General features: G+C 45.1%; 1 protein-coding gene and 1 non-coding gene across 3 annotated transcripts in view, besides 5 other annotated features; both read left to right on the forward strand.

Moving 5' to 3' along the window:
• Positions 10635–10924: a silencer, noted in NCBI's record as "silent region_13777". NCBI's record gives its function as "represses an Ori minimal core promoter by ATAC-STARR-seq in GM12878 lymphoblastoid cells {active_cell/tissue: GM12878}" and the evidence as "EXISTENCE:reporter gene assay evidence [ECO:0000049][PMID:35858748]".
• Positions 11025–11794: a silencer, noted in NCBI's record as "silent region_13778". NCBI's record gives its function as "represses an Ori minimal core promoter by ATAC-STARR-seq in GM12878 lymphoblastoid cells {active_cell/tissue: GM12878}" and the evidence as "EXISTENCE:reporter gene assay evidence [ECO:0000049][PMID:35858748]".
• On the forward strand, positions 11655–11708 carry MIR1281 (microRNA 1281). The gene has a single exon (NR_031694.1). It is a non-coding gene; the product is annotated as a microRNA 1281 (primary transcript).
• EP300 (EP300 lysine acetyltransferase) overlaps positions 11734–25440 on the forward strand; it is an 87486-nt gene continuing 73779 nt past the window's right edge. For both annotated transcript variants that reach the window (NM_001429.4, NM_001362843.2), the window contains exon 1: positions 11734–12240. In NM_001429.4, coding sequence (NP_001420.2) covers positions 12147–12240 — 94 coding nt within the window. In that variant the 5' untranslated portion in view covers positions 11734–12146. The remainder of the gene's footprint in view (positions 12241–25440) is intronic.
• Positions 11975–12074: a silencer, noted in NCBI's record as "silent region_13779". NCBI's record gives its function as "represses an Ori minimal core promoter by ATAC-STARR-seq in GM12878 lymphoblastoid cells {active_cell/tissue: GM12878}" and the evidence as "EXISTENCE:reporter gene assay evidence [ECO:0000049][PMID:35858748]".
• Positions 12185–12424: an enhancer, noted in NCBI's record as "active region_19106". NCBI's record gives its function as "activates an Ori minimal core promoter by ATAC-STARR-seq in GM12878 lymphoblastoid cells {active_cell/tissue: GM12878}" and the evidence as "EXISTENCE:reporter gene assay evidence [ECO:0000049][PMID:35858748]".
• Positions 24202–24846: an enhancer, noted in NCBI's record as "H3K4me1 hESC enhancer chr22:41501064-41501708 (GRCh37/hg19 assembly coordinates)". NCBI's record gives its function as "activates a minimal SCP1, AML or CMV promoter by ChIP-STARR-seq in primed H9 embryonic stem cells {active_cell/tissue: H9 hESC(primed)}" and the evidence as "EXISTENCE:reporter gene assay evidence [ECO:0000049][PMID:30033119]".

Raw genomic sequence — 25440 nt, forward strand, 5'->3', positions numbered from 1 at the left:
GCTGGGCATGGTGGTGCAGACCTGTAATCCTAGCTACTCGGGAGGCTGAGGTGGGAAGATCAGCTGAGCCGGGGACTTGGAGGTTGCAATGAACCAGCATCGTGCCACTGCACTCCAGCCTGAGCCACAGAATGAAACACTGTCTCAAAAAAAAAAAAATTAGCTGGGTATGGCACTGCACATCTGCAGTGAGGCTGAGTGGGAAGGATCACTTGAGCCCAGGAATTGGAGGCTGCAGTGAGGCAGGATCGCACCACTGCACTCTAGTCTGGGCAACAGAGTGAGATCCTGTCTCTATAAAAACAATTTCTTTTTTTAAAGAGTGCAAGATCCTTGGTTACCTCTGGTTCCGCTGGTGCATTTCATTCCTGATGGTGGCACAATCATGCCTAATGATATGGAAAGTCACAAGTTCTGTGGCTGTTTTTGTGGGTTTGCCACTCTGTTTTTAAATTCTATGGAAAAGATATTGTGTGCATGTGAGTGTGTGTTTGTGAGCATGTTTATGTATAGAACTTCCCTCTTTCTTTATTCATTCAATAAACACTCATTGGCTATGTATTCTAACCCAGTTCCTGTCCTAGGTGCTAAGGTCTTGAGGAAGCATAAGACCTGCCTCCTGCCCAAAGAAAGTAGTAAGGGTTCTGTAGAAAGAGTCCTGGATATCATGCTGGAAGACCTCCATTCCAACCTTCCTTTTGCTTCAGTTTGGGGCCTCATGAAGGACATTTCATTTCCTTTAGAGCTCGTTTCCCAGAGTAAACACTTACTCTATTTCTGGTGTAATTATAAAGAATCCAGTCAAGCTATCTGAGATTCCAGAAGACAGAGAGGTTGACTGGCACCCTGATGGACAAGTAAGCTAGATCAAGTCCTTTTCAGGGCCAGAAAGCCCTTGTGGCTGTAGTAGCATAGATGAGGTTGGGGCAGGTGGGGATCCACTAACCCTGACCAGATTCACAAATCGATGGTATGTATTCATCTGAACGATAAGTTTGGGTTGAGTCCCTCTTCATCAGGTCTTAAATTAGGAGCTGGGAAAGAGAGATGGACGACATGGTCGCCTTCCCTGCTGTGCAGGAAAGGCTGACAAGGACCCAGGCAACTATAATATGGTGTGTAATGTAGGTGATTCAAAAGTACAGGATAGGCTGGGAATGGTGGCTCACACCTATAATCCCAGCACTTTGGGAGGCTGAGGCAGGAGGATCGCTTGAGGCCAGGAGTTCGAGACCAGCCTGGACAACATACTGAGAGCTGTCTCTATTAAAATAATAATAATAGCCAGGCACGGTGGCTCATGCCTGTAATCCCAGCACTTTGGGAGGCTGAGGCAGGTGGATCATGAGGTCAGGAGATCTAGACCATCCTGGCTAACATGGTGAAACCCTGTCTCTAATAAAAATACAAAAAAAATAGCCAGGCATGGTGGCAGGCGCCTGTTGTCTCAGCTACTGGGGAGGCTGAGGCAGGAGAATGGTGTGAACCCGGGAGGCGGAGCTTGCAGTGAGCCAAGATCGTGCCACTGCATTCCAGCCTGGGCGACAGAGGGAGACTCCATCTCAATAAATAAATAAATAAATAAATGAACAAATAAAAAATAATAATAACAAAAGAAGGCCAGGCACAGTGGTCATGCCTGTAATCCAAGCACTCTGGGAGGCTGAGGCAGGAGGATCTCCTGAGGTCAGGAGTTGGAGACCAGACTGGCCAACATGGTGAAACCCCATCTCTACTAAAAATACAAAAATTAGCTGGGCATGGTGGTGGGCCCCTGTAATCCCAGCTACTCGGGAGGCTGAGGCAGGAGAATTGCTTGAACCCGGTAAGCAGAGGTTGTAGTGAGCTGAGATCGTGCCACTGCACTCCAGCCTGGGTGACAGAGTGAGACTCTGTCTCAAAAAATAAAAATAAAAAAGGCTGGGCACGGTGGCTCTAGCCTGTAATCCCAGCACTTTGGGAGGCCGAGGGGGATGGATCATGAGGTCAGGAGATCAAGAGCATCATGGCTAATATGGTGAAACCCCATCTCTACTGAAAATACAAAAAAATTAGCTGGGCATGGTGGCATGCACCTGTAGTCCCAGCTACTTGGGAGGCTGAGGCAGGAGAATCACTTGAACCAGGGAGTCAGAGGTTGTAGTGAGCTGAGATTGCGCCACTGTACTCCAGCCTGGGCAACAGAGTGAGACTCCGTCTCAAAAAATAAAGAAATTAATTAATTTAAAAAATTAAAAAATAATTAAATAATTAAAAATAAATAAATAATAAAATAAGTACAGGGTATTTGCCAGAGAGGGCACAAGAGGAGTGTGTAACTAGGGCTCAGAGGGATCGGGGTGGGGGGGTGCTTTATAGAAAAAGGAATATGTTAGTCGAGACCTGCAGGGTGATCAGGAATTTGTGGGTAAAGAAAGGATTGCAGTGGTGTTTCAGACAGGAGTATATGTGTGTGAATGTCCCAACAACAGAGAGAGCATGGCACCAGAAGAATAGAAATAATTCCACTTGGCTGCCGGGAGGGAAGTTCAGAGAAATAAGGTAGGTAAGCATGTACCATTCCCTGCAATTGAAACTTTATCCTAACAGCAAAGAGGAACCATTGAAGGTGTTTTTGTTTTTGTTTTTTGAGACGGAGTATCGCTCTGTTACCCAGGCTGGAGTTCAGTGGTATGATCTCAGCTCACTGCAACCTCTGTCTCCCAGGTTCAAGCAATTCTCCTGTCTCAGCCTCCTGAGTAGCTAGGACTACAGGTGCACGGCACCATGCTGACTAACTTTTTTTTTTTTTTTGTATTGTAGTAGAGACGGGGTTTCACTGTGTTGCCCAGGCTGGTCTCGAACTCCTGAGCTCAAGCAATCCACCCACCTCGGCCTCCCAAAGTGCTAGGATTACAGGCATGATCCACTGCACCCGGCCTGAATGTTATTTTAGAAAAAATACTTTCTAGTTTTGACTTCAAACATCATAAAAATTTGTAACGTACAATGAACACTCCCCATAACACTTCTCTCACCCCAGTACTGCTAACAGTTTGGTGCATATTCCATCAGCTTCTAACCCTTTATTTATTTATTTATTTATTTTTATTTTATTTTATTTTTTTGAGACAGAGTCTTGCTTTGTTGCCCAGGCTGGAGTGCAGTGGCGCGATCTCGGCTCACTGCACGCTCCGCCTCCCGGGTTCACGCCATTCTCCTGCCTCAGCCTCCCAAGTAGCTGGTACTATAGGCACATGCCACCATGCCCAGATAATTTTTTGTATTTTTAGTAGAGATGGGGTTTCACCTGTGTTAGCCAGGATGGTCTCGATCTCCTGACCTCGTGATCCTCCTGCCTCAGCCTCCCAAAGTGCTGGGATTACAGATGTGAGCCACCGTGCCTGGCCCTAACCCTTTATTTATTTATTTATTTATTTATTTATTTATTTATTTAATTTTTTTTTGATTTTTATTATTATTTTTTGAGACAGAGTCTCGCCGTGTTGCCCAGGTTGGAGTGCAGTGGCACAATCTCAGGTCACCACAACCTCTGCCTCTCGGGTCCAAGTGATTCTCCTTCATCAGCCTCCCGAGTAGCTGGGACTACAGGCACGCACCACCATGCAGGGCTAATTTTTGTATTTTAGTGGAGACGGGGTTTCACTATGTTGGCCAGGCTGGTCTCAAACTCCTGACCTCATGATCCTCCGGCCTCAGCCTCCCAAAGTGCTGGGATTACAGGCATTAGCCACCATGCCCGGTCTAACCCATTATTATTAATAATTATATTTGTAAAAATAGAGACATTCTATACCTACTATTTACCAATATGCTTTTTGTCCTTAGTAATACATAGACATCTTTCTATGGTAGTATATATCTGCCTACTCATTTTCAATTGACTGCATAATATCCCATCATTGTAAGACTGTTCCATAGTTTTTGTTGTTGTTGTCTAGCTGTGATAAAATCTATGGTACGTAGGCCATGCGCGGTGGCTCACGCCTGTAATCCCCGCACTTTGGCAGGCTGAGGCGGGTGGATCACCTGAGGTCAGGAGTTCAAGACCAGCCTGGCAAACATGGTGAAATCCCATCTCTATAAAAAATACAAAAATTAGCTGGGCATGGTGGTGCACACTTGCAGTGCCAGGTACTTGGGAGGCTGAGGCACAAGAATCACTTGAACCCAGGAGGTGGATGTTGCAGTGAGCGGAGACTGCACCACTGCACTCCAGCTGGGCAACAGAGTGAGACTCTGTGTCAAAAAGAATATATACATATATTATTCCCACAGTGCTGGGATTACAGGAGTGATCTATTTTTCTTTTCTTTTTTTTTGAAACAGGGTCTCACTCTGTCGCCCAGGCTGGAGTGCAGTGGTATGATCTCTCAGCTCATTGCAACCTCCACCTCCTGGGTTCAAGCAATTCTTGTACCTTGGCCTCCAGAGTAGCTGGGATTACAGGCATGTGCCACCATGGCCAGCTAACTTTTTTGTATTTTTAGTAATATATATATATATATATATATATATATATATATATATATATAATCCCTGTAATCCCAGCCCTTTGGGATTTTTATATATTTTATATATATGTTTTATATATATATACATAACATGTATAGAGAGAAAGAAAGAACATAAAATTTATCATTTTTACCATTTAAAAAAACTTTAGTAAGTTCTCATGAAATACACATATATAAAATTTATGGTCTTAACCTTTTTTTCGTTTTTTTTTTTTTTTTTTTTTTGAGACAGAGCCTCTCTCTGTCACCCAGGCTGGAATATAGTGGAGGCATGATCACGGCTCACTGCAGCCTTGACCTCCCAGGCTCAGGTGATCCTCTCATCTCAGCCTCCTGAGTAGCTGGGACCACAGGTGTACACCATCATGCCTGACTAACTTTTTTTTTTAAATGTTTGTAGAGACAGGGTGGGGGGCGTCTCACCCCGTTGCTCAGGCTGGTCTCGAACTCCTAGACTCAAGGGATCCTCCAGCATTGGCCTCCTAAAGTGTTGGGATTACAGGCATGAGCCACCATACCTGCTTCCTCTTAACCATTTTTTAGTGCACAGTTCAGTGGCATTAAGTACACGAAACTGTTGTACAGCCAACACCAGCATGCATCTGCAAAACTTTCTCATCTGCTCAAAGGGAAACTTTGTACTTATTAAATAGATCTTCCCATTCCCTTCTGTCCCCAGCCCCTGGCAACCACTGTTCTACTTTCTGTCTCTATGAATTTGGCTACTGTAGACACCTCATATAAGGAGAATCATATCCATTGTTTGTTTGTTTTTTAACCATTCGCCTACATACAGGCTGTTAGTTTGTTTCCCTTTGTTGGGGAAGGTGAAGAGGAGGGACTATTACACTGCTGCAGGGAACATTCTCACATCTTTGTACACTTGTAGAATGTGTCCTAGATTCTGGGATTTTCAAAGGCTATAAACATTCAGTATGAACCTAAAAGTTTGTACCACGCTCTATTTCCACTAACAGTGTATGAAAGCCCAAATTCTCCACTTCCTTGCCAATATTGGCTATTAAAATATTTTTCTTTTTCTATTTTTCTTTTTTTTTTTTTTGAGACAGAGTCTCACTGTGTTGCCTACGCTGGAGTGCAGTGGCACAATTGTGGCTCACTGCAACCTCCACCTCCTGGGTTCAAGCAATTCTCTGCCTCAGCCTCCCTCCCGAGTACCTAGGATTACAGGCGCCCACCACCACACCCGGCTAATTTTTGTATTTTTATTTTTTGAGACGGAGTCTTGCTCTGTGGCCCAGGCTGGAGTGCAGTGGCGCCGTCTCAGCTCACTGCAAGCTCCGCCTCCCGGGTTCACGCCATTCTCCTGCCTCAGCCTCCAGAGTAGCTGGGACTACAGGCGCCTGCCACCAGGCCCGGCTAATTTTTTTGTGTTTTTATCAGGGACGGGGTTTCACCGTGTTAGCCAGGATGGTCTCGATCTCCTGACCTCGTGATCCGCCCACCGCGGCCTCCCAAAGTGCTGGGATTACAGGTGTGAGCCACCGCTCCGGGCCTAATTTTTGTATTTTTAATAGAGACAGGGTTTCACCATCTTGGCCAGGCTTGTCTTGAACTCCTGACCTCAGGTGATCCACCTGCCTTGGCTTCCCACAGTGCTGGGATTACAGGCGTGATCTATTTTTCTTTTCTTTTTTTTGAAACAGGGTCTTACTCTGTCGCCCAGGTTGGAGTGCAGTGGTATGATCTCTCAGCTCACTACAACCTCCACCTCCTGGGTTCAAGCAATTCTTGTACCTTGGCCTCCGGAGTAGCTGGGATTACAGGTGTGTGCCACCATGTCCAGCTAACTTTTTTGTATTTTTAGTAGAGACGGAGTTTTGCTATGTGGGCCAGGCTGGTCTCAAACTCCTGACCTCTAGTGATCTGCCCGCCTCAGCTTCCAAAATGCTGGCATTACATGCGTGAGCCACCATACCCAGCTTCAATTCTGCTGTTCTGAAGCCATCTTAAGAGTCACCTTGATTGTCTTTGTGTGATCCATATTTTCTTGCCATCAGCCACTTCCAACATGGCCAATTTCAGGTTCAGGGTCCTGGGGAAAGGCCAGAGGAGCACATCTCAAGAAGATGCCCCAAGCATCAGAGTTCTGCATGTACAGCAGAGCCGGGGGCCATGGCCTCTGATTTCTTTTGGTTGAATTTTCTCATGGGATGTTCCTCAGATCTCCTTCAATCCACTTCTTATATCTAGTCCTACAGTATTTTTGGCCAGGTGGGCAAGGTATGTTTGAATGCTGCTTTGATTCAAGCTGGATCCTGTGTAAAACTAAGCAAATCTTTTTCCTAAAGTTTACAGAAACTCTTTAAAAAGAAAAAAAAAAAAGCTGGGTGCGGTGGCTCACGCCTATAATCCCAGCACTTTGAGAGTCCAAGGCAGGCGGATCACGAGGTCAGGAGTTCGAGACCAGCCCAGTCAACATGGTGAAACCCCATCTCTACTAAAGATACAAAAAATTAGCCAGCGTGGTGGCGCAAGCCTGTAATCCAAGCTATTCGGGAGGCTGAGACAGCAGAATTGCTTAAACCTGGTAGGCGGAGGTTGCAGTGACCCGAGATCGCACCACTGCACTCCAGCCTGGGTGACAGGGCGAGACTCTGTCTCAAAAAAAAAAAGAAAAGAAAAGAAAAGAAAAGAAAAAGAGGCCAGGCTCGGTGGCTCATGTCTGTAATCCCTGCTACTAGGGATACTAGGGAGGCTGAGTCAGGAGAATTGCTTGAACCTGGGAAGCAGAGGCTGCAGTGAGCCAAGATCATGCCACTGCACTCCAGCCTGGGCAACAGAGTGAGACTCTGTCTCATAAGAAAAAAAAGAAACTCTTAAAAAAAAAAAAACCAGCTGGGGCCAGGTACAGTGGCTCATTCCTGTAACAGCACTTTGGGAGGCCAAGGTGTGTGGATCAACTGAGGTGAGGAGTTTGAGACCAGCCTGGCATGGTGAAACCCCGTCTCTACTAAAAATACACAAAATTAGCTGGGTCCGTGGTGGTGCATGCCTGTAATCCCAGCTACCAGGGAGGCTGAGGCGGAAGAATCACTTAAACCTGGGAGGCAGAGGTTGCAGTGAGCGGAGATCATGCCACTGCACTACAGCTTGGGTGACAGAGCAAGGCTCTGTCTCAAAAAAACAAGAAAACAAACAAACAAAAACAGGCCGGGTGCAGTGGCTCACGCCTGTCATCCCAGCACTTTGGGAGGCCAAGGCGGGCAGATCACGAGGTCAACAGATCTAAACCATCCTGACCAAAATGGTGAAACCCCATCTCTACTAAAAATACAAAAATTAGCTGGATGTGGTGGCGCACACCTGTAGTCCCAGCTACTCGGGAGGCTGAGGCAGGAGAATCACTTGAACCCAGGAGGCAGAGGTTGCAGTGAGCTGAGATGGCGCCATTGCACTCCAACCTGGCAACAGAGCCAGACTCCGTCTCAAAAAAAAAAACAAAAAAAAAAAACTGGGCAAGCAATCTCCCACCAGGAAATGACAGAGCAAGTTTCCAGGTGTCCTCCACATTTCTCATTTCTTTGCTTTGTTTTTTAAAATATTTATTTATTTATTTTAAGAGACAGGATCTCTCACTCTATTGCCCAGGCTGTAGTGCAGTGGCATGATTACACCTCACTGCAGCCTCGACTTCCCAGGCTGAAGTGATTCTCCCATTTCAGTATCTGGAGTAGCTGGACTACAGGTGCTGTGTACACCACCGCGCCTAAGTAATTTTTTTTTTTTAACTTTTGTAGAGATGGGGAATAGGGGGGTCTCTTTATGTTTGCTGGGCTCAAGCGATCCTCCCACCCTCGTCTCCTGAAACGTTGGGATTACAGGCATGAGACACTGTGCCCGACCAACATTCTTTCCTTTGTACTCCTTAGTCTGAATATGGGTATAAACTATTAAAAATAACAAAATTATCCCTGAAGGCCAATCTTGATCTCACTCCTACACATTGAATTCATCCTGTAACAACTTTAAGATAAAGAAGTTCTGTCCTTTTCAATTTGCCTGCTTTTTTTTTTTTTTTGAGACGGAGTCTCGCTCTTTCGCCCAGGCCAGAGTGCAGTGGCGCGATCTCGGCTCACTGCAAGCTCCACCTCCCGGGTTCACGCCATTCTCCTGCCTCAGCCTCCCGAGTAGCTGGGACTACAGGTGCCCGCCACCGTGCCCGGCTAATTTTTTGTATTTTTAGTAGAGACGGGGTTTCACCGTGTTAACCAGGATGGTCTCGATCTCCTGACCTCGTGATCCGCCCGCCTTGGCCTCCCAAAGTGCTGGGATTACAGGCGTGAGCCACCGCACCTGGCCTTTTTTTTTTTTTTTGAGACAGAGTCTCGCTCTGTCGCACAGGCTGGAGTGCAGTGGGCGATCTCTGCTCACTGCAGGCTCTGCCTCCCAGGTTCACGCCATTCTCCTGCCTCAGCCTCCCGAGTAGCTAGGACTACAGGTGCCCGCCACCACGCCCAGCTAATTTTTTTGTGTGTGTTTTTAGTAGAGACGGGGTTTCACCGTGTTGGCCAGGATGGTCTCAATCTCCTGACCTCCTGATCCGCCCTCCTCGGCCTCCCAAAGTGCTGGGATTACAAGCGTGAGCCACCACGCCCGGTTCAATTTGCCTGCTTTTCTACTGCAGTTTGGGTGATCTAGGCCTGATCATTAGAGGACAGATTCCATCCCTGTCAGCAACTTCAATTGCTCCATTAGGATCTTCACTCTTATGTTCTTATTTATTCATCCCAACATTAATTTAAAAAACAAACAGAAACAATATAAAAAAAAAAACAAAGAAAATCCAACAATTTGCAAATACCAGCTACGGAGCATGAGATATGAAATAAAAGAAAAAAAATTTTTTTTTCTTTGGGACAGAGTTTTGCTCTTGTCGCCCAGGCTGGAGTGCAATGGCACAATCTCAGCTCACTGCAACCTCCGCTTCCCGGGTTTAAGAGATTCTCCTACCTCAGCCTCCCAAGTAGCTAGGATTACAGGCGTGCACCACCACACCCGGACAAGTTTTGTATTTTTAGTAGAAACGGGGTTTCACCATGTTGGCCAGGCTTGTCTCGAACTCCTGACCTCAGGTGATCCACTGGCCTCGGCCTCACAAAGTGCTGGGATTACAGGCGTGAGCCACCGTGCCTGGCCGAGAAAAAGCTTTTAACCGTATCAGTAGATACTGGTTTCGGGGTTTCTTTCGGGGTCACTTACACCCCTGCCACCTCCTCCAGTACCAATTTACCCATGGCCAAACACAGGGTGATGTGTAGGAACCTGAAAGCACGTCTCCGACCTCAGCTGCAAAACTGTGGAGTCCCACACACTAGACTTTATATTCCAGCATTTCCTCTCACCATTACATTTTTGCTTTTTTCCATCCTTACATTACCTTTACCACATTTTTGTTTTTCCCATAATTACATTAGATAAGGCAATGGCTAGACGTGGTCTTTTACTAACTTGTTCTATTGGGAGCGGACGAGAAAAAAAAAAAAGACAAACCCTAGAAATGTCTTCAGGTCCCAGCCATGTTTAGGAAAATACTTGAAGGCTTCTGCGGTGAGAGTGCTACCTGGTAAGGGCGTATGGACACACGTGGAGGGCAAGAAATGAATTTGGGTCTGGTGCCGAAACATCTTTCCACTGCTGTGATTTTGTTTTCTGGTCAGAGTAATAATGCTCGTTGTAAAATAAATAAATAAATAATACATAAAAAGGAAAAGGAAAATTCAGAGAAAATGAAAACAACTCGTAATCAACGTGCTTTTTGGATGTGAACTGCTCCCTTTGGGAGGGCAATGGAGAAGTGAGGACGCACTGGGTATCTGGCCCGGAACAGCCGGCAGTGGGTACACCCTGCCTGGTGAATTCGACCGGGGTTTTGGGGGACCCGCCACCCAAGGGCCGAAGAGCAGGGCCGCCCTACGGGCGCTCCCATTTGGCCACCTGAGTGGCGACTTGGCGCCTTCCTCGGAGCAGCTCCGGGGTTCCGTCGTCCCGGTTCCCACTGGTCCCTTACGCAGAGACCAAAGGCAGGAACCTTCCCTCGTAACTATCCACCGACTGAAAATAGATTCTGAGTCCGCCCCCGCCCCTCCCCCCTTAAAATCCTCCCCACTCTTAAAATCCTCCCCTTTAAAGGGAGCCACAGGGTGACGCCGGGGGAGTTTGCGGAAGCGCTAACCGCGTTGGGGCCTAGGGCGGATCCCGTGATTGGGACAGGCCCCGCCCCCGGCTCCACTTCCCCCATTGTGTGAGCGGCTCGGGCCTAGGCCCCGCCCCCCTCCGGAGGCCCGGCCACTCCCCTTTTCCACCCCCCCTTGGCTCATTTCCGGCCGCCGCCGCTACCGCTAGCCTGTAAGGAGGATTCGGCAGAGGGAAGAAACAACAGCCGCCATCTTGTTTGTGTGCTAGGCTGGGGGGGAGAGAGGGCGAGAGAGAGCGGGCGAGAGTGGGCAAGCAGGACGCCGGGCTGAGTGCTAACTGCGGGAGCCAGAGAGTGCGGAGGGGAGTCGGGTCGGAGAGAGGCGGCAGGGGCCGAGACAGTGGCAGGGGGCCCGGGGCGCACGGGCTGAGGCGACCCCCAGCCCCCTCCCGTCCGCACACACCCCCACCGCGGTCCAGCAGCCGGGCCGGCGTCGACGCCTAGGGGGGACCATTACATAACCCCGCGCCCCGCGGCGTCTTCTCCCGCCGCCGCGGGCGGCCCCGAACGGAGCCCCGGGGGGCGGGCGCTCCCAGCACCTGGCCGCCGGCGGTGGGGGCCGTAGCAGCGGCCGTATTTATTTATTTTCCGCGGGAAAGGAAGGCGAAGGAGGGGAGCGCGGCGCGAGGAGGGGCCGCCTGCGCCGCCGCCGGAGCGGGGCCTCCTCGGTGGGCTCCGCGTCGGCGCGGGCGTGCGGGCGGCGCTGCTCGGCCCGGCCCCCTCGGCCCTCTGGTCCGGCCAGCTCCGCTCCCGGCGTCCTTGCCGCGCCTCCGCCGGCCGCCGCGCGATGTGAGGCGGCGGCGCCAGCCTGGCTCTCGGCTCGGGCGAGTTCTCTGCGGCCATTAGGGGCCGGTGCGGCGGCGGCGGCGCGGAGCGCGGCGGCAGGAGGAGGGTTCGGAGGGTGGGGGCGCAGGCCCGGGAGGGGGCACCGGGAGGAGGTGAGTGTCTCTTGTCGCCTCCTCCTCTCCCCCCTTTTCGCCCCCGCCTCCTTGTGGCGATGAGAAGGAGGAGGACAGCGCCGAGGAGGAAGAGGTTGATGGCGGCGGCGGAGCTCCGAGAGACCTCGGCTGGGCAGGGGCCGGCCGTGGCGGGCCGGGGACTGCGCCTCTAGAGCCGCGAGTTCTCGGGAATTCGCCGCAGCGGACGCGCTCGGCGAATTTGTGCTCTTGTGCCCTCCTCCGGGCTTGGGCCCAGGCCCGGCCCCTCGCACTTGCCCTTACCTTTTCTATCGAGTCCGCATCCCTCTCCAGCCACTGCGACCCGGCGAAGAGAAAAAGGAACTTCCCCCACCCCCTCGGGTGCCGTCGGAGCCCCCCAGCCCACCCCTGGGTGCGGCGCGGGGACCCCGGGCCGAAGAAGAGATTTCCTGAGGATTCTGGTTTTCCTCGCTTGTATCTCCGAAAGAATTAAAAATGGCCGAGAATGTGGTGGAACCGGGGCCGCCTTCAGCCAAGCGGCCTAAACTCTCATCTCCGGCCCTCTCGGCGTCCGCCAGCGATGGCACAGGTTAGTTTCGGCAGCCCCGGCCTTCCACGTTCCCTTTAATCTTTTCTACTCGGTGCGCCTTTATTCTTCCATTTTTTTTTTCTTCCTCTCTCTCTAGTTCCCTGCCCCTTAATTAATTTTAAAGGTATTTGAATGAGCTGGTCGAAGACGTCCAGTAGCCCAACCATTTTCTTTGCCTCCTAATACATTGATTGCAACACTATGTCATATCGGTGTGTGTTCTGGAATTAGAGCTCGTAAGTGGGTGCTATATAGAAATGGCCTGTATTGTTGCTCTCATGCAATTTAATTTGGGAAATGCCAATGCATTTGTGTGTAAGAGCTCCTATGCAATTTAAGTTTCATTTTTTTTGTTCTTGGCAAATGAATTTCGAATCCTTTCTCTTTACTGTACTTACTGTGTTTCCTCTACTTTCCACTCTTCGAAATTTTCTCTCCTTTGCAGAATATTTTCTGTTGAGGAATAGGGTGTAAAAAAATCTTGATTTTGTGTGTGCGAGGTCCAAGATTTCAGGTTAGAGGTGAAGTTTAACAATTCTTTTATCTTACCTACCATTCTTAGCTTTTTTTTCCTTTTTCTTCTTATTTGCTTTAAGAATCAATATGGAGCGCAGTTCATTTCACATCTCCCAGTTCTTTGGTGTGAGACCAAAATGTCTGAAACTCTGGGTTTTTAGGTTGGGAGAACAGGGGCATGTTCTTTGCAGTTTGCAGTCACTTTCTCATTTTAGGGGAAATAAGATAAACAATTTTGTGGAGTTACGTACCTGGAAATCAAGGTTAGAAGTTGAAAGAGTTCCAATCATGAACTACAAACGTGAACTGATTGTACAAAAGTTTAAAATGTGCATTAGGTTTGGTGTTTGTGTGTGTCTTTGTCTTTTTACACTTTTAAACATACTTGGAGATCAAGATTTTCGTTTAAAAGCTTTACGACCAGTTCATTCAGTTGTGGACTAGCTCCTTTGTCAGGAGAAGTTCAGGGAGACTTCTTCCATCATCCCTTCATTCTTTTCTTACAGTTAGTTTAATGGTGTTATCCTGATGGGTAAGGACCTTTTCTTTGCTGGGATAATGAAGATGAAGAATGGCTGGCCATCTGACAGTCCACAAGATGTTCCCCTTTACTACGGAGCATCTCTTTAACTCCCTGAGAGCAGGCTCAGCGTCATCCCTCCATCTGCCAGTGAGAGTGCATAATGGAGTTAAATGTACCCTTTGAGTTTGTAGAGAACTTCGAGAGCATGTTTCTAAATAGGCTTCATTTCAGAGGGTGAAAATGGGAAGACAGAGCTAATGCTTTGAATTCGTTGCTTTTATAAGAAAGATGTGAAATGAATTTAAGTTAACCTGCAAAAATTGAGAAGTAGGAATCTTGCGAGTTCCTCTACCTAAGGCTTGTAACATTGATTATGCATGAACTTTGATCTGTACCTATTCTATGAAGGTACTGTAGTCTCCAGGGATTTTTTTAGCTGGTTTTTTCCTTCAGAATTCATACACATACACAAACGTCGTTGTATTCCTTTGCACCTACTAAAGTGCCATTCAGAAACATTTTTTAGATCATCTTTAGAGACTTAATCACCTGTAGATTTTTGTGGTGTTTCTTTCGTATTTGTGTAATGTGGTAGTTTTTGCTTTTTAGTTTTGGTGTAACGTGGTAGTCGATTTTACATTGGAGTTAGCCAGTGACTTGGAACGTAGGGGAAACTTTTTTGTGTACTTTGAGTAGTCCTGATTTGAGCAGTTTCGTCTTGGAGCTGTATTGTTTAAATACTTCTGTTCAGGTGTGCTACTACTTTCTCCATGTCGGTCTGTTTTGCTACTTGAAATATCTTTGAATAATTACAAGAGTTTTAAATGTGTTAAGTGGGCTTTTATAGTTTAAAAAAAAACTCAACATTGAGATTAATTCATTCACTCATAATGCTAAGAGTTTATCTTAGTTACTTTTCTAAATTTTGTAATGAGGGTTAACTTTACCCCCCTCCCCAAATCAAGATTCTACTCCAGGAATTCTTTGGTGTACGGTTTTTAATTGTAACCAGTCTGGGTTTGGGGGAGGGGAGAAGTGAGTATAAAGAAAATACTGTCCCTCTGTTAACTTACTTCAAGTTGGGTACCATTGTAATTTTTTTTTTTTTTTTTTTTTTTTTGAGATGGAGTCTCATTCTGTCACCCAGGCTGGAGTGCAGTGGTGCGATCTCACTACAACCTCTGCCTCCTGGGTTAAAGCAGTTCTGTCTCAGCCTCCCTAGTAGCTAGGACTACAGGCGCAGACCACCACGCCTGGCTGATTTTTGTATTTTTAGTTGAGACAGGATTTCACCATATTGGTCAGGCTGGTCTCGATCTCCTGCCCTCAAGTGATCCACCCACCTTGGCCTCCCGAAGTGCTGGGGTTACAGGTATGAGCCGCCCGGCCAGAGGTACCATTATATCTTGAATTTTTTTTTTTTGACATTCTGCAGTTTGTAATATGTTTGCAGGTAACTTTTATTGGAGGCACATCACCTCTTAAAACTTTTAAGTTTCAAACTTGTAACTTTTGATTTTTGAGTTGTCACTTGGGTATTTTATAAATGTGAAAGAAAATTATTTCTTGATATTATGGTTTTTGTCTAGAACTGGTTGAAATAAGCCCGAAATTCTAGCACCTAAAACTTTTTTAAAAAAAGTGATTTAGGCTTGCAAATTTCGTGATGTAAATATATCCACCAAGAGCGTTCTAATGTCAGCTTTAAAGGAAAGAAAACTGGAATCCAATGGGATGACATGCTAAAGTGTTACAAATCAAATTATTACTTAAATCTCAACCTCTGAATTGCTGTTTAATACTCAGATATTCTCCTAAAAAATTTCCAGGTTGATTCAAATAACTTAGGTTAAACTCAACTTTTACGTGTTGGGATGGGGAAGAGAAGACTTATTTGTAGCCTTCACACCTTTATGTTCCTGTTTCAGTATTTGCATTTGATCCATTGAAATTTTTATTTCATTTGGTATGGTTAGGGTAAAACAAATCATTTGAGAAATGACATTTTGTTCTCCCTCTCCCTCCAAAAAAAAAAGATTATGAAAGCCACTTGTAAACTTTTTTTGTAAAAATGACCAAAAGACTGGAAAAGTTAATGTTAGGCAAATCCTGGAAATATCTTTTGGAGCTGTTTCTGATCATCTTGAGTGATGGAAATGATGAGGGTCATCTGTTGTCTTCATTACTCAGTGAACACGTTTTGTCACTGCTTGGTAAACGCTTAATGCCGTATGCACTTAAAAAGCACCTGGAAAGATAGGATTTTAGGATCTGGCATATAATTAAGTAGGGTAAAGATCCTTCTGGTCTTGGTACAGTTTTGTGGCCCTGGGTTTTGTGCTTTTTTGTTTTTTGAGTTTTTCCCCCATTTCAAAGACACAGGGCAGATAGTGTGTAAAGTATACCTGCTTTTTGACCAGTAGATTAATGTACACAGTGGAGAAGTGGTAAGGCTTTTTAAAATGTCAGCTCTACTTTTTTTTTTTTTTTTTTTTTTTGAGACAGAGGTTTGCTCTCGTTGCCCAGGCTGGAGTGCAGTAGCTCGATCTTGGCTCACTGCAATCTCAACCTCCCAGGTTCAAGCGATTCTCTGCTTCACCCTCCTCAGTAGCTGGGATTGCAGGTGTCCACAACCATGCCCAGCTAAGTTTTGTATTTTTTAGTGGAGACAGTATTTCACCATTTTGGCCAGGCTGGTCTCGAACTCCTGACCTCAGGTGATCCACCCGCCTCAGCCTCCCAAAGTGCTGGGAATACAGGCGTGAGCCACCATGCCCGGCTGTCAGCTCTATTTTCTTAAAATGCCATTGTGTTAGTGGTTCGTCATCCTAACCAAAACATTTTGATCAAGACCATTTATTTTCCAGCTCTGTAACTTGTGATATGCTATGTTTTATTTTATTTTGGCTTGAATGTTTACATAAGAGTTTGCTTCTGGAGTCTTGCAGATATAGCTCCTGATTTAGTGAGGCATTTCTCTCCTCAGTATTAAATTGCAAAACATTTTACTAAAGTGCTTTAAGTTTTTCTGGCAATTATTCTCAAGGCCTTGTAAGTTCATTTATAGGACTTCAAGAAGGTTGTCTCTGGTTGATAGTGAGATAAAGTGACTTTTAAGTTGTAAATCTTGAATGCGTTACAATATGGGGGTCTTATTCCAGCAGGAGTTCATCTTCTATAGCAGAGGTTGGAATTGTATTGGCATGTCCAGTGAATGGATAATAGGGAGGAGGGAGGAAAGGGTTTCTGCCTTGGTGGCCTTTTGGCATTATTTTGTGTTTTTCTTTGCTTTTCTCTCTCTTCTTTATTTAATAAAAACAAAAAAATGGAAACAGTTGAAAATTAATGCAAAGTGGTATTTGTAGGGACATTAAGTGGTAAATAGGAAAGAGAAAAAGAGTAGGAAGAGTGTTGCAGATACAAGTGGGAGTGTAAAATACTTTTTCCTGGTATATTTACAAAAACAATTTGAGAGTTATTCTGCCAATTCATATACCCAGCAATTAATGGAAAAGTAAAAGATGCTAGTTTTATGTTTGTCCAGATTTTAGGGTTTCCTTCTTTGAAGATTTCTAAAGTTGAATATTTTTTTAAGTGAGGCAAGCAGTAAAATTAATGGGCAAATGAAACCAATTATACCAAGTCTAAAATTTTTCTTTTTTTTTTGAGGCAGAGTCTCGCTTTGTAGCTGGGACTACAGGCGCCTGCCACCATGCCCAGCTAATTTTTTGTATTTTTAGTAGAGACGGGGTTTCACCATGTTGGCCATGATGGTCTCGATCTCCTGACCTTGTGAACCTCCCATCTCTGCCTCCCAAAGTGCTGGGATTACAGGCGTGAGCCACCGCGCCCAGCTAAAAATTTTTTTTTTTTTTAATACTTTTAAGTTTTAGGATACATGTGCACAACGTGCAGGTTTGTCACATATGTATACATGTGCCATGTTGGTGTGCTGCACCCATTAACTCGTCATTTAGCATTAGGTATATCTCCTAATGCTATCCCTCTCCCCTCCCTGCTAAAAAATTTTTTAACATTGAACTTCGCAGGTGATTTTTTTTCGCTTAATAGACGGTAGTTTCATTTTGAAATTTTCATGGGAAATTACTGCTCACTTTCCCAGAAGCGCTTAAGAGGATAAATAATAATTGAGGTGTTAAGCCTCTTCTGAGCAATTTGGATATAATTTGTTTTTAGATCTAGATTCTTTTTTATAAATGTCCCAAAGCAATTAGAAGTGATTGTTTTTTTTGAGACGGAGTCTCGCTCTGTCGCCCAGGCTGGAGTGCAGTGGCGCGATCTCGGGTCACTGCAAGCTCCGCCTCCCGGGTTCAAGCCATTCTCCTGCCTCAGCCTCCCGAGTAGCTGGGACTACAGGCGCCCGCCACCACACCCGGCTAATTTTTTGTATTTTTAGTAGAGACGGGGTTTCACCGTGTTAGCAAGGATGGTCTCCATACACTGACCTCGTGATCCGCCCACCTCAGCCTCCCAAAGTGCTGGGATTACAGGCGTGAGCCATAGCACCTGGCCCTAGAAGTAATTTTGTTGAGAGAGAGAGAGTAAAACTAAAAGTACTGAAAAGAGTAAGAGAGTAGCTAAGAGAATGAGTATTGGAGTCAGACTGCTAGAGTTCATAGCCCAGGCTTGTATTTATTAACTGTGAACTTTGGGCCAAATACTTAACCTGGCTCAACCTCCTCACATTTATTCCTAACCACAGCCCTGTAAGGTGGGTGCGCACCTTATAGGAATCCACCTTACTTACCCACCTTACAGGATTGTGGTTAGGAATAAATGAGAATTCTCTTTATCAGATGCTTAGGACTATGCTTGCTTCTGTGTAGTATGTGTTCATTGTTAACTGTTTTTAACTTTACTGCTAAATATATCAGAAGGAAAGCAGTGGTAGATGGTTTGGGGGTTGTTTTTGTTTTTTTGATTTGCAACGAAGTCTTGCTCTGTTGCCCAAGCTGGAGTACAGTGGCGTGATCTCGGCCTATGACAACCTCCGTCTCCCGGCTTCAAGCGATTCTCCTGCTCAGCCTCCGGAGTAGCTAGGACTACAGCTGCGCAGCACCATGCCCGGCTAATTTTTGTATTTTTAGTAGAGACAGGGAGTCCTGACCTCGTGATCCACCCACCTCGGCCTCCCAAAATGTTGGGATTACAGGCATGAGCCACCGCGCCCGGCCTGTTTTTGTTTTTCGTGGATATACAGTAGTCCCCCCTTATCCTTGCGGGATACATTCCAAGATCTCCAGTGGATACCTGAAACCCTGTATAGTAGTGAATATAATTGTCATCAGTCAGAACACGTTTCTGTCCGTGTCTTCCACACACAAATTTAATGCCTTTTCCATCTTAACTAATCACTTGTCATGCACTGTGGCTGTGATGTTTGCAGTTTGAGGTACAACAGCAAAACTATCACGAATTTTTTTCCTTCACAATTTCATGTATAGATTTGATCTTTGTAACCTCCGCATACAATTTTTTTTCATTCCTTATTAAGTCAAGAACTTTCACCTTCAAGCAATTTACAGCTTCTCTTTGGCATATCCATATAGCTGTCATTGCTACTTTTGGACTTAGGGACTGTCATTAAGTAAAATAAGGGTTACTTAAAACTCAAGCATTGCCCTGCCCCATAGTCAGTCTGACAATCTGATAACTGAGATGGCTACTAAGTGACAAATGGCTGGTAGTTTATACAGGTGAATACATTAGACGGAGGGGAGATTCACTACCCGGTCAGGTGAGATTTCATCAGGCTACTCAGAATGGCGCACAGTTTAAAACATTGTTGTGGCTCACGCCTGTAATCCTGGCACTTTGGGAGATTGAGGCAGGAGGATTGCTTGAGGCCAGGCATTCAAGACCAGCCTGGGCAATGTAGTGGGACCCCCCATCCCCCCACCATCTCTAGAAAAAAAATTTAAAAAGTCAGCAAGGCATGGTGGCATGCATCTGTAGTCCTAGCTTCTTGGGAGGCTTAAGGTGTGAGGATCTCTTGAGCCCAGGAGTTTTGAGGTTACAGTGAGCTATGATGACACCACTGTACACTCCAGCCTAGGTGACATAGCAAGACTCTGTTTCTAAAACAACAAAAATTAGTGTTTATTTCTGCAGTTTTCTTTGTAATATTTTTGTACCACAGGTGTTTGAAATGGCAGAAAATGAAACGGGGTAAGGATGAACTCCTGTATAGATAGACTGGATAAAGAGAAAGCCAAGTGCATGATGTTCATAGAGGAGTCTTAAGAGTAAGCCTTATGTCATCTATCCAAATGTTGTTTTCTAGGAGTATAAGAATATAGGAACAGAGCTTAAAATGGAAAAATACTGTACAGTTAGCCTTCCGTATCTGAGGGTTCCGTGTTTGTGGAGTCAGCCACAGATTGAAAATATTTAGGGGAAAAAAATCCATGGTTGCATCTGTACTGGACATGTACAGACTTTATTTTCTTGTCATTATTCCCTAAACAATACAGTGCACCAACTATTTATGTTGCATTTACACTGCATTAGGTATTGTAAATAATCCAGAAAGAATTCAAAGTATATGGGTGGGTGTGTGTAGGTTATATGCAAATACTACATGTCCCCTTTATATCAGGGACTGGAGCATCCTCAGATTTTGGTATCTGCAGTGGAGGGAGTGGATTCTGGAACCAATTCCCAGCAGATACCAAGGGACAACCATATATATATAGTATCATGACATCTTGTATCATGTCACGTATATATATATCATATATATTATCATGTCACGTATACAAGACATCTTATATATCCTATCATGTAAGATGTCTTGTATACGTAAGTAATAGAAATGAAAATCAGCAGATAGTTAAGGCATAATGAGAAAATGGAAAACATTGTTCTTGTTAGAAATGTTTAAGAATGGCTTCTTGATAAAGAACTGTGTTAAGCATATTCTTTCTTCTTTTTAGACACAGAGTCTCACTCTGTTTCCTAGACAGGAGTGCAGTGGTGCAATCCTGGCTCACTGTAGCCTCCATCTCCTGGGTTCAAGCTATTCTCCTGCCTCAACCTCCCAAGTAGCTGGGATTACAGGCACCTGCTACCATGCCTGGCTAATGTTTGTATTTTTAGTAGAGATAGGGTTTCACCGTGTTGGCCAGGCTGGTCTCGAACTCCTGACCTCAGTCTGCCCACCTCGGCCTCCCAAAGTGCTGGTATTAGAGGCGAGAGCCACAGTGCCTGGCCAATTAAGCATAATTTTTTCTATTTTTCATTTTCTTACATGGATCTTTTTTTTTTTTTTTGAGACGGAGTCTAGCTCTGTCACCCAGGCTAGAGTGCAGTGACACGATCTCGGCTCACTGCCAGCTCCGCCTCCTGGGTTCATGCCATTCTCCTGCCTCAGCCTCCCTAGTGGCTGGGACTACAGGCACCCGCCACCATGCCCGGCTAATTTTTTGTATTTTTAGTAGAGATGGGGTTTCACCATGTTAGGCAGGATGGTCTCGATCTGCTGACTTCATAATCTACCCTTCTCGGCCTCCCAAAGTGCTGGGATTACAGGGGTAAGCCACCGTGCCCAGCCACCTGGGTCTTAAAGAATAAATTTTCTTGAGATGGAGTCTTGCTGTGTTGCCCAGGCTGAAGTTATCCTCCTGCTTCGGCCTCCTGAGTAGCTGGGATTGCAGATGTGAGCCACTATGCCTGCCTCTAAGAAACTTTCTTATAAAGGAGGAAGAAGAAAAGTAGCAGTGCAGTGCTCCAAAGAATTTTTTTACAACACTTAAGGAAGAACTACCTTTAACTTGTAGCACTAGAGACTCTGTTTCAAAGAATGCACAAGAATACTTACCCTTATTACTTGTAATATACTCTCATATTTTCTGTTGCTTTTTTTTCTTTTCTTTTTTTTTTTTTTTTTAGTACTGGTTGCAGCCTACTATATTGATTTTTATGACCCACTGTTGGCTTTTGAGCCATAATTTGAAGAATACTGGCGTAGAAGAGTTGACAAGATGGCAGTTATTCTGTATTAGGCCAACATTTTCTGTATGCCAGGAACTTATCCTCTGTACATTGTTCCTTCTTTCCTTCCTGGAGTTTATAGATAAGGGAAGAAGACTGGCATTCACGGAGTCTGGTGTGATCAGCATTGTATTTGGGAAGTACGTATATAGTGGGAGGAACAGGAGAACCTAACCCAGTAGTTATCCTGGTGGCTGTCTTTGAGGAATTGTGTCTGATTTTGGGATCTCACAGATAGAGATAGGATTAGTAAAAATGAGCCCAGGCTAGAAAGGAGACTGTGTGAGGCCAGGTATATCCTGTTCTGGGAACCTGTGAGTGCTGTCTGACTGGTAGAATAGCCAAAAACTTGACTGTAGAGGTGAGCAAGGGGGCCAATCATGGAGGGCTTATAATACAGGAATTTAGACTTTCCATTTTACCCATTTAATGGATGGGGCAGAATTGTGCTTTAGGCAGTTAAGTAAAAGGAGGAATAGTTTGGGAAGAACAGGGAAAAACAGGAGGCAGGGAGACCAGTGAAACAGCTGTTTTAGGGTTCCAGCCACCCTTACCACAGAAGATGGAAAGAAGTGGAAAGATTTGAGGGAAGATGGATGATCAGCAGAACTTGGTGACTGATTAGAAGTTAGGTAGTAAGATGGACAAATCAAGGATAATTCCCCAGTTTAAAGTTTGAGCAACTTGTTGGGTGATGATTTATTTATTATTTATTTATTTATTTTGAGACAATCTCTGACCCAGGTTGGAGTGCAGTGGTGTGATCTCAGCTCACTGCAACCTCCGCCTTCCGGGTTCAAGCGATTCTCATGCCTCAGCCTCCCAAGTAGCTGGGACTAAAGGTATCCACCACCACGCCTGGCTAATTTTTGTATTTTTAGTAGAGATGGGGTTTCACCATGTTGATCAGGCTGGTCTCGAACTCTGGCCTCAAGTGATCTGCTCGCCTTGGCCTCCCAAAAGTGCTGGGATTACAGGCATGAGCAGCTGTGCCCAGCTGGATAATTATTTAATAAATTGGGGAGCATAGGAAGCATAGTATTTGTGAAGTGGGTAGGCAGGTGTGATGGGGGTAGTGATGTTACATTTGGGGCATTTTGAAGTTGGTGGTTCTTCTGAGTTGAGCAGTCAGTCACTCTTCATTTGCTGCACCTTTATCTCATTTTAGCCAACAGACATTGAATACCTACCAAGTCTTAGGTATTTGCAATGTAAAGACAAATTAAGGTGCCTTCTGCTGTCAGAGACTTCAGAGATACAGTGGGGTTGGTATACATGTCCACACAGTTTTCCCGTAAGTTATGCTTTAAAAGGTTTTTTAAATGTTATATATAAAGGCAGGGGATGGGTTGCTTTTGACAGAGTAGGTTTGGAGCGTTGATGGAAAACTTCATGGAGAAAATGTATATTTGAACAGGGTTGGTGGAAATTAACATACCTTAGAAGTAGGGAAAGTTGGAAGGGTTTTTCAGATGAAGCTAACATGTTTCTGATGTGGCTAGAATATACGCTGTGTGATAGGGTTTTTCATGGGAGAGAGATGGGAAAGGATGTTGGGGTTCTATTGTGGAAAGAGAAATATGCTAAGGAATTTGCCATTTATCTTAGCATCAGGATAAGAATTGTATGAGCAGGGGAGTGACATGGTTGGGGAAAGACTAATTCTGGTAACACCGTACAGAGCAGCAGTAGGTAGAACCTATGGCAGGAAGACTAGGAGTACATTATTTACCTCTTTTGAAATGAGTTTGTCATTTGCCTTGGAAGTTTTTGGTACATTGTAATTAACAAAGTGAATTGTTTATTTTGTTCAAGATCCATGCTTGGTTTGCCAGTTGTTATAAATGTAGAAAATATACCAGATACCAACTTAGAAACCATTCACTCTCCTTGTTATTTACAGATATGCAAGGTTTTTTTGTTGTTGTTTTTGTTTTGTTTTGTTTTTAAAGGGTATGTTTCTCCATCTAGGATTCCCTGTAGGCCTTCCCTTGTAACAAATCTCAAGGTTTGCTCAAAATCAAGAAATGTTCAGTGACAGTTAAGTTAGCACACAATTTAGGCTTACTATAAAACATGTCCTTGAGTTGATTCTTAAGGTGGGATTTTAATAAATAATAGTGTCTTCATCATGTAGTTTTTTTGGTTTTTTTTTTTCATACAGAGTCTTGCTCTGTTGCCCAGGCTGGAGTGCAGTGGTGTAATCTTGGCTCACTGCAACCTCTGCCTCCCCGGTTCAAGTGATTTTCCTGCCTCAGCCTCCCAAGTAGCTGGGATTACAGGCGCCCGCCACCACACCCAGCTAATTTTTGTATTTTTAGTAGACACAGGGTTTTGCCATGTTGGCCAGGCTGACCTCGAACTCCTGACCTCAGGCGATCCGCCCGCCTCGGCCTCCCAAAGTGCTGGGGTTACAGGCGTGAGCCACCATGTCCGGCCTCATGTAGTTATTTTCACAAGAAGTGTCACTATATTAATACATTGAAAAAGAGCAAGGTGAATTGTCAATGTGAATTTTCTAAACATGGCCCCAGGTCACATTCTTGATCAATTAAAGCACTTCACCTCTTTAAAATTCAAGACTTAAGGCTGGGCGCAGTGGCCTACACCTGTAATCCCAGCACTTTGGGAGGCTGAGGCAGGTGGATTACTTGAGGTCAGGAATTCAAGACCAGCCTGGCCAACATGGTGAAACCCCATCTCTACTAAAAATACAAAAATTAGCTGGGCATGGCCGGGCACGGTGGCTTACGCCTGTAATCCCAGCACTTTGGGAGGCCAAGACGGGCAGATCACGAGGTCAGGAGATTGAAACCATCCTGGGTAACACGGTGTAACCCCGTCTCTACTAAAAATACAAAAAAATTAACCCCGTCTCTACTAAAAATACAGAAAAATTAGCCGGGCGTAGTGGCGGGCGCCTGTAGTCCCAGCTACTCAGGAGGCTGAGGCAGGAGAATGGCGTGAACCCAGGAGGCGGAGCTAGCAGTGAGCCGAGATCGTGCCACTGCACTCCAGCCTAGGTGACAGAGCGAGACTCCATCTCAGAAAAAAAAAAAAAAAAAAAAAAAGCCGGGCGTGGTGGCAGGCGCCTGTAGTCCCAGCTACTCGGGAGGCTGAGGCAAGGGAATCTCTTGAACCCGGGAGGCGGAGGTTGCCATGAGCTGAGATTGCACCTGGGCCACGAGAGTGAAACTGCATCTCAAAAAAAAAAAAATTCAATATTGAAATGTTTTGGGTTTTTTTGTTTGTTTGTTTCTTTTTTTGAGATGGAGTCTCACTCTGTCATCCAGGCTGGAGTGCAGTGGTGCAGTCTCCACTCACTGCAGCCTCCGCCTCCCGGGTTCAAGCGATTCTCCTGCTTCAGCCTCCTGAGTAGCTGGGACTATAGGCACATGCCACCACAGCCGGCTAATTTTTGTATTTTTAGTAGAGATGGGGTTTCACTATGTTGGCCAGGCTGGTCTTGAACTCCTGACCTCATGATCCACCCACCTCGGCCTCCCAAAGTGTTGGGATTACAGGCGTGAGCCACCACCCCTGGCGTGTTGGGGTTTAAAAAGAATAAACTTCAAGTTAATCTCTTCCCAAAGTATAAGTATACCTTTTGATGTCATGATAGCAGGACCATGTGAAGAGTACATATTTTGAAATTTGCTTGCACTTTTGCCCTTTCACTCTATTGGATTTCAAAATTCAACAGCTGTCAGCATTTGTAGCTGTGTAATCCTGTATAATTATCATCTTTTATCCAAATTTGTATAAAACTTACAAGTTTTCCTAATTTTTTTGGAGTATTAGAGATCTTGCCTGTCTTTCCAGCATGGATATTTTATTTTAATTTTCTTAATGTTCCTTCAAATTACGTAGTTTGAAATGTTTGTACATCTTTATTTCCTTGCTAGATGGGTTGTTTATATGATTAGATAATTCTTCATTTACAGAGGGTTAAAGTAACTTTTTTTAAATGAAGTACTGAATAGAGGTTAGGAAAGTTGTTGGAACCTGATAAATTTGTAAAATTTACAAAATTTCTCATTTTAAAAGCTACAGTTTTAAAATTTCATGCTTTTTAAGCATCCATTGTAAGAGTAGGAGTGTCCAAAAGCAATAAGAACAAGAAATCTTTGTAAGATTGGTAGTTTCAG

The sequence above is a fragment of the Homo sapiens genome, chromosome 22 (genome assembly GCF_000001405.40).
Source record: "Homo sapiens chromosome 22, GRCh38.p14 Primary Assembly".
In the NCBI taxonomy this organism is placed as follows: Eukaryota; Metazoa; Chordata; class Mammalia; order Primates; family Hominidae; genus Homo; species Homo sapiens.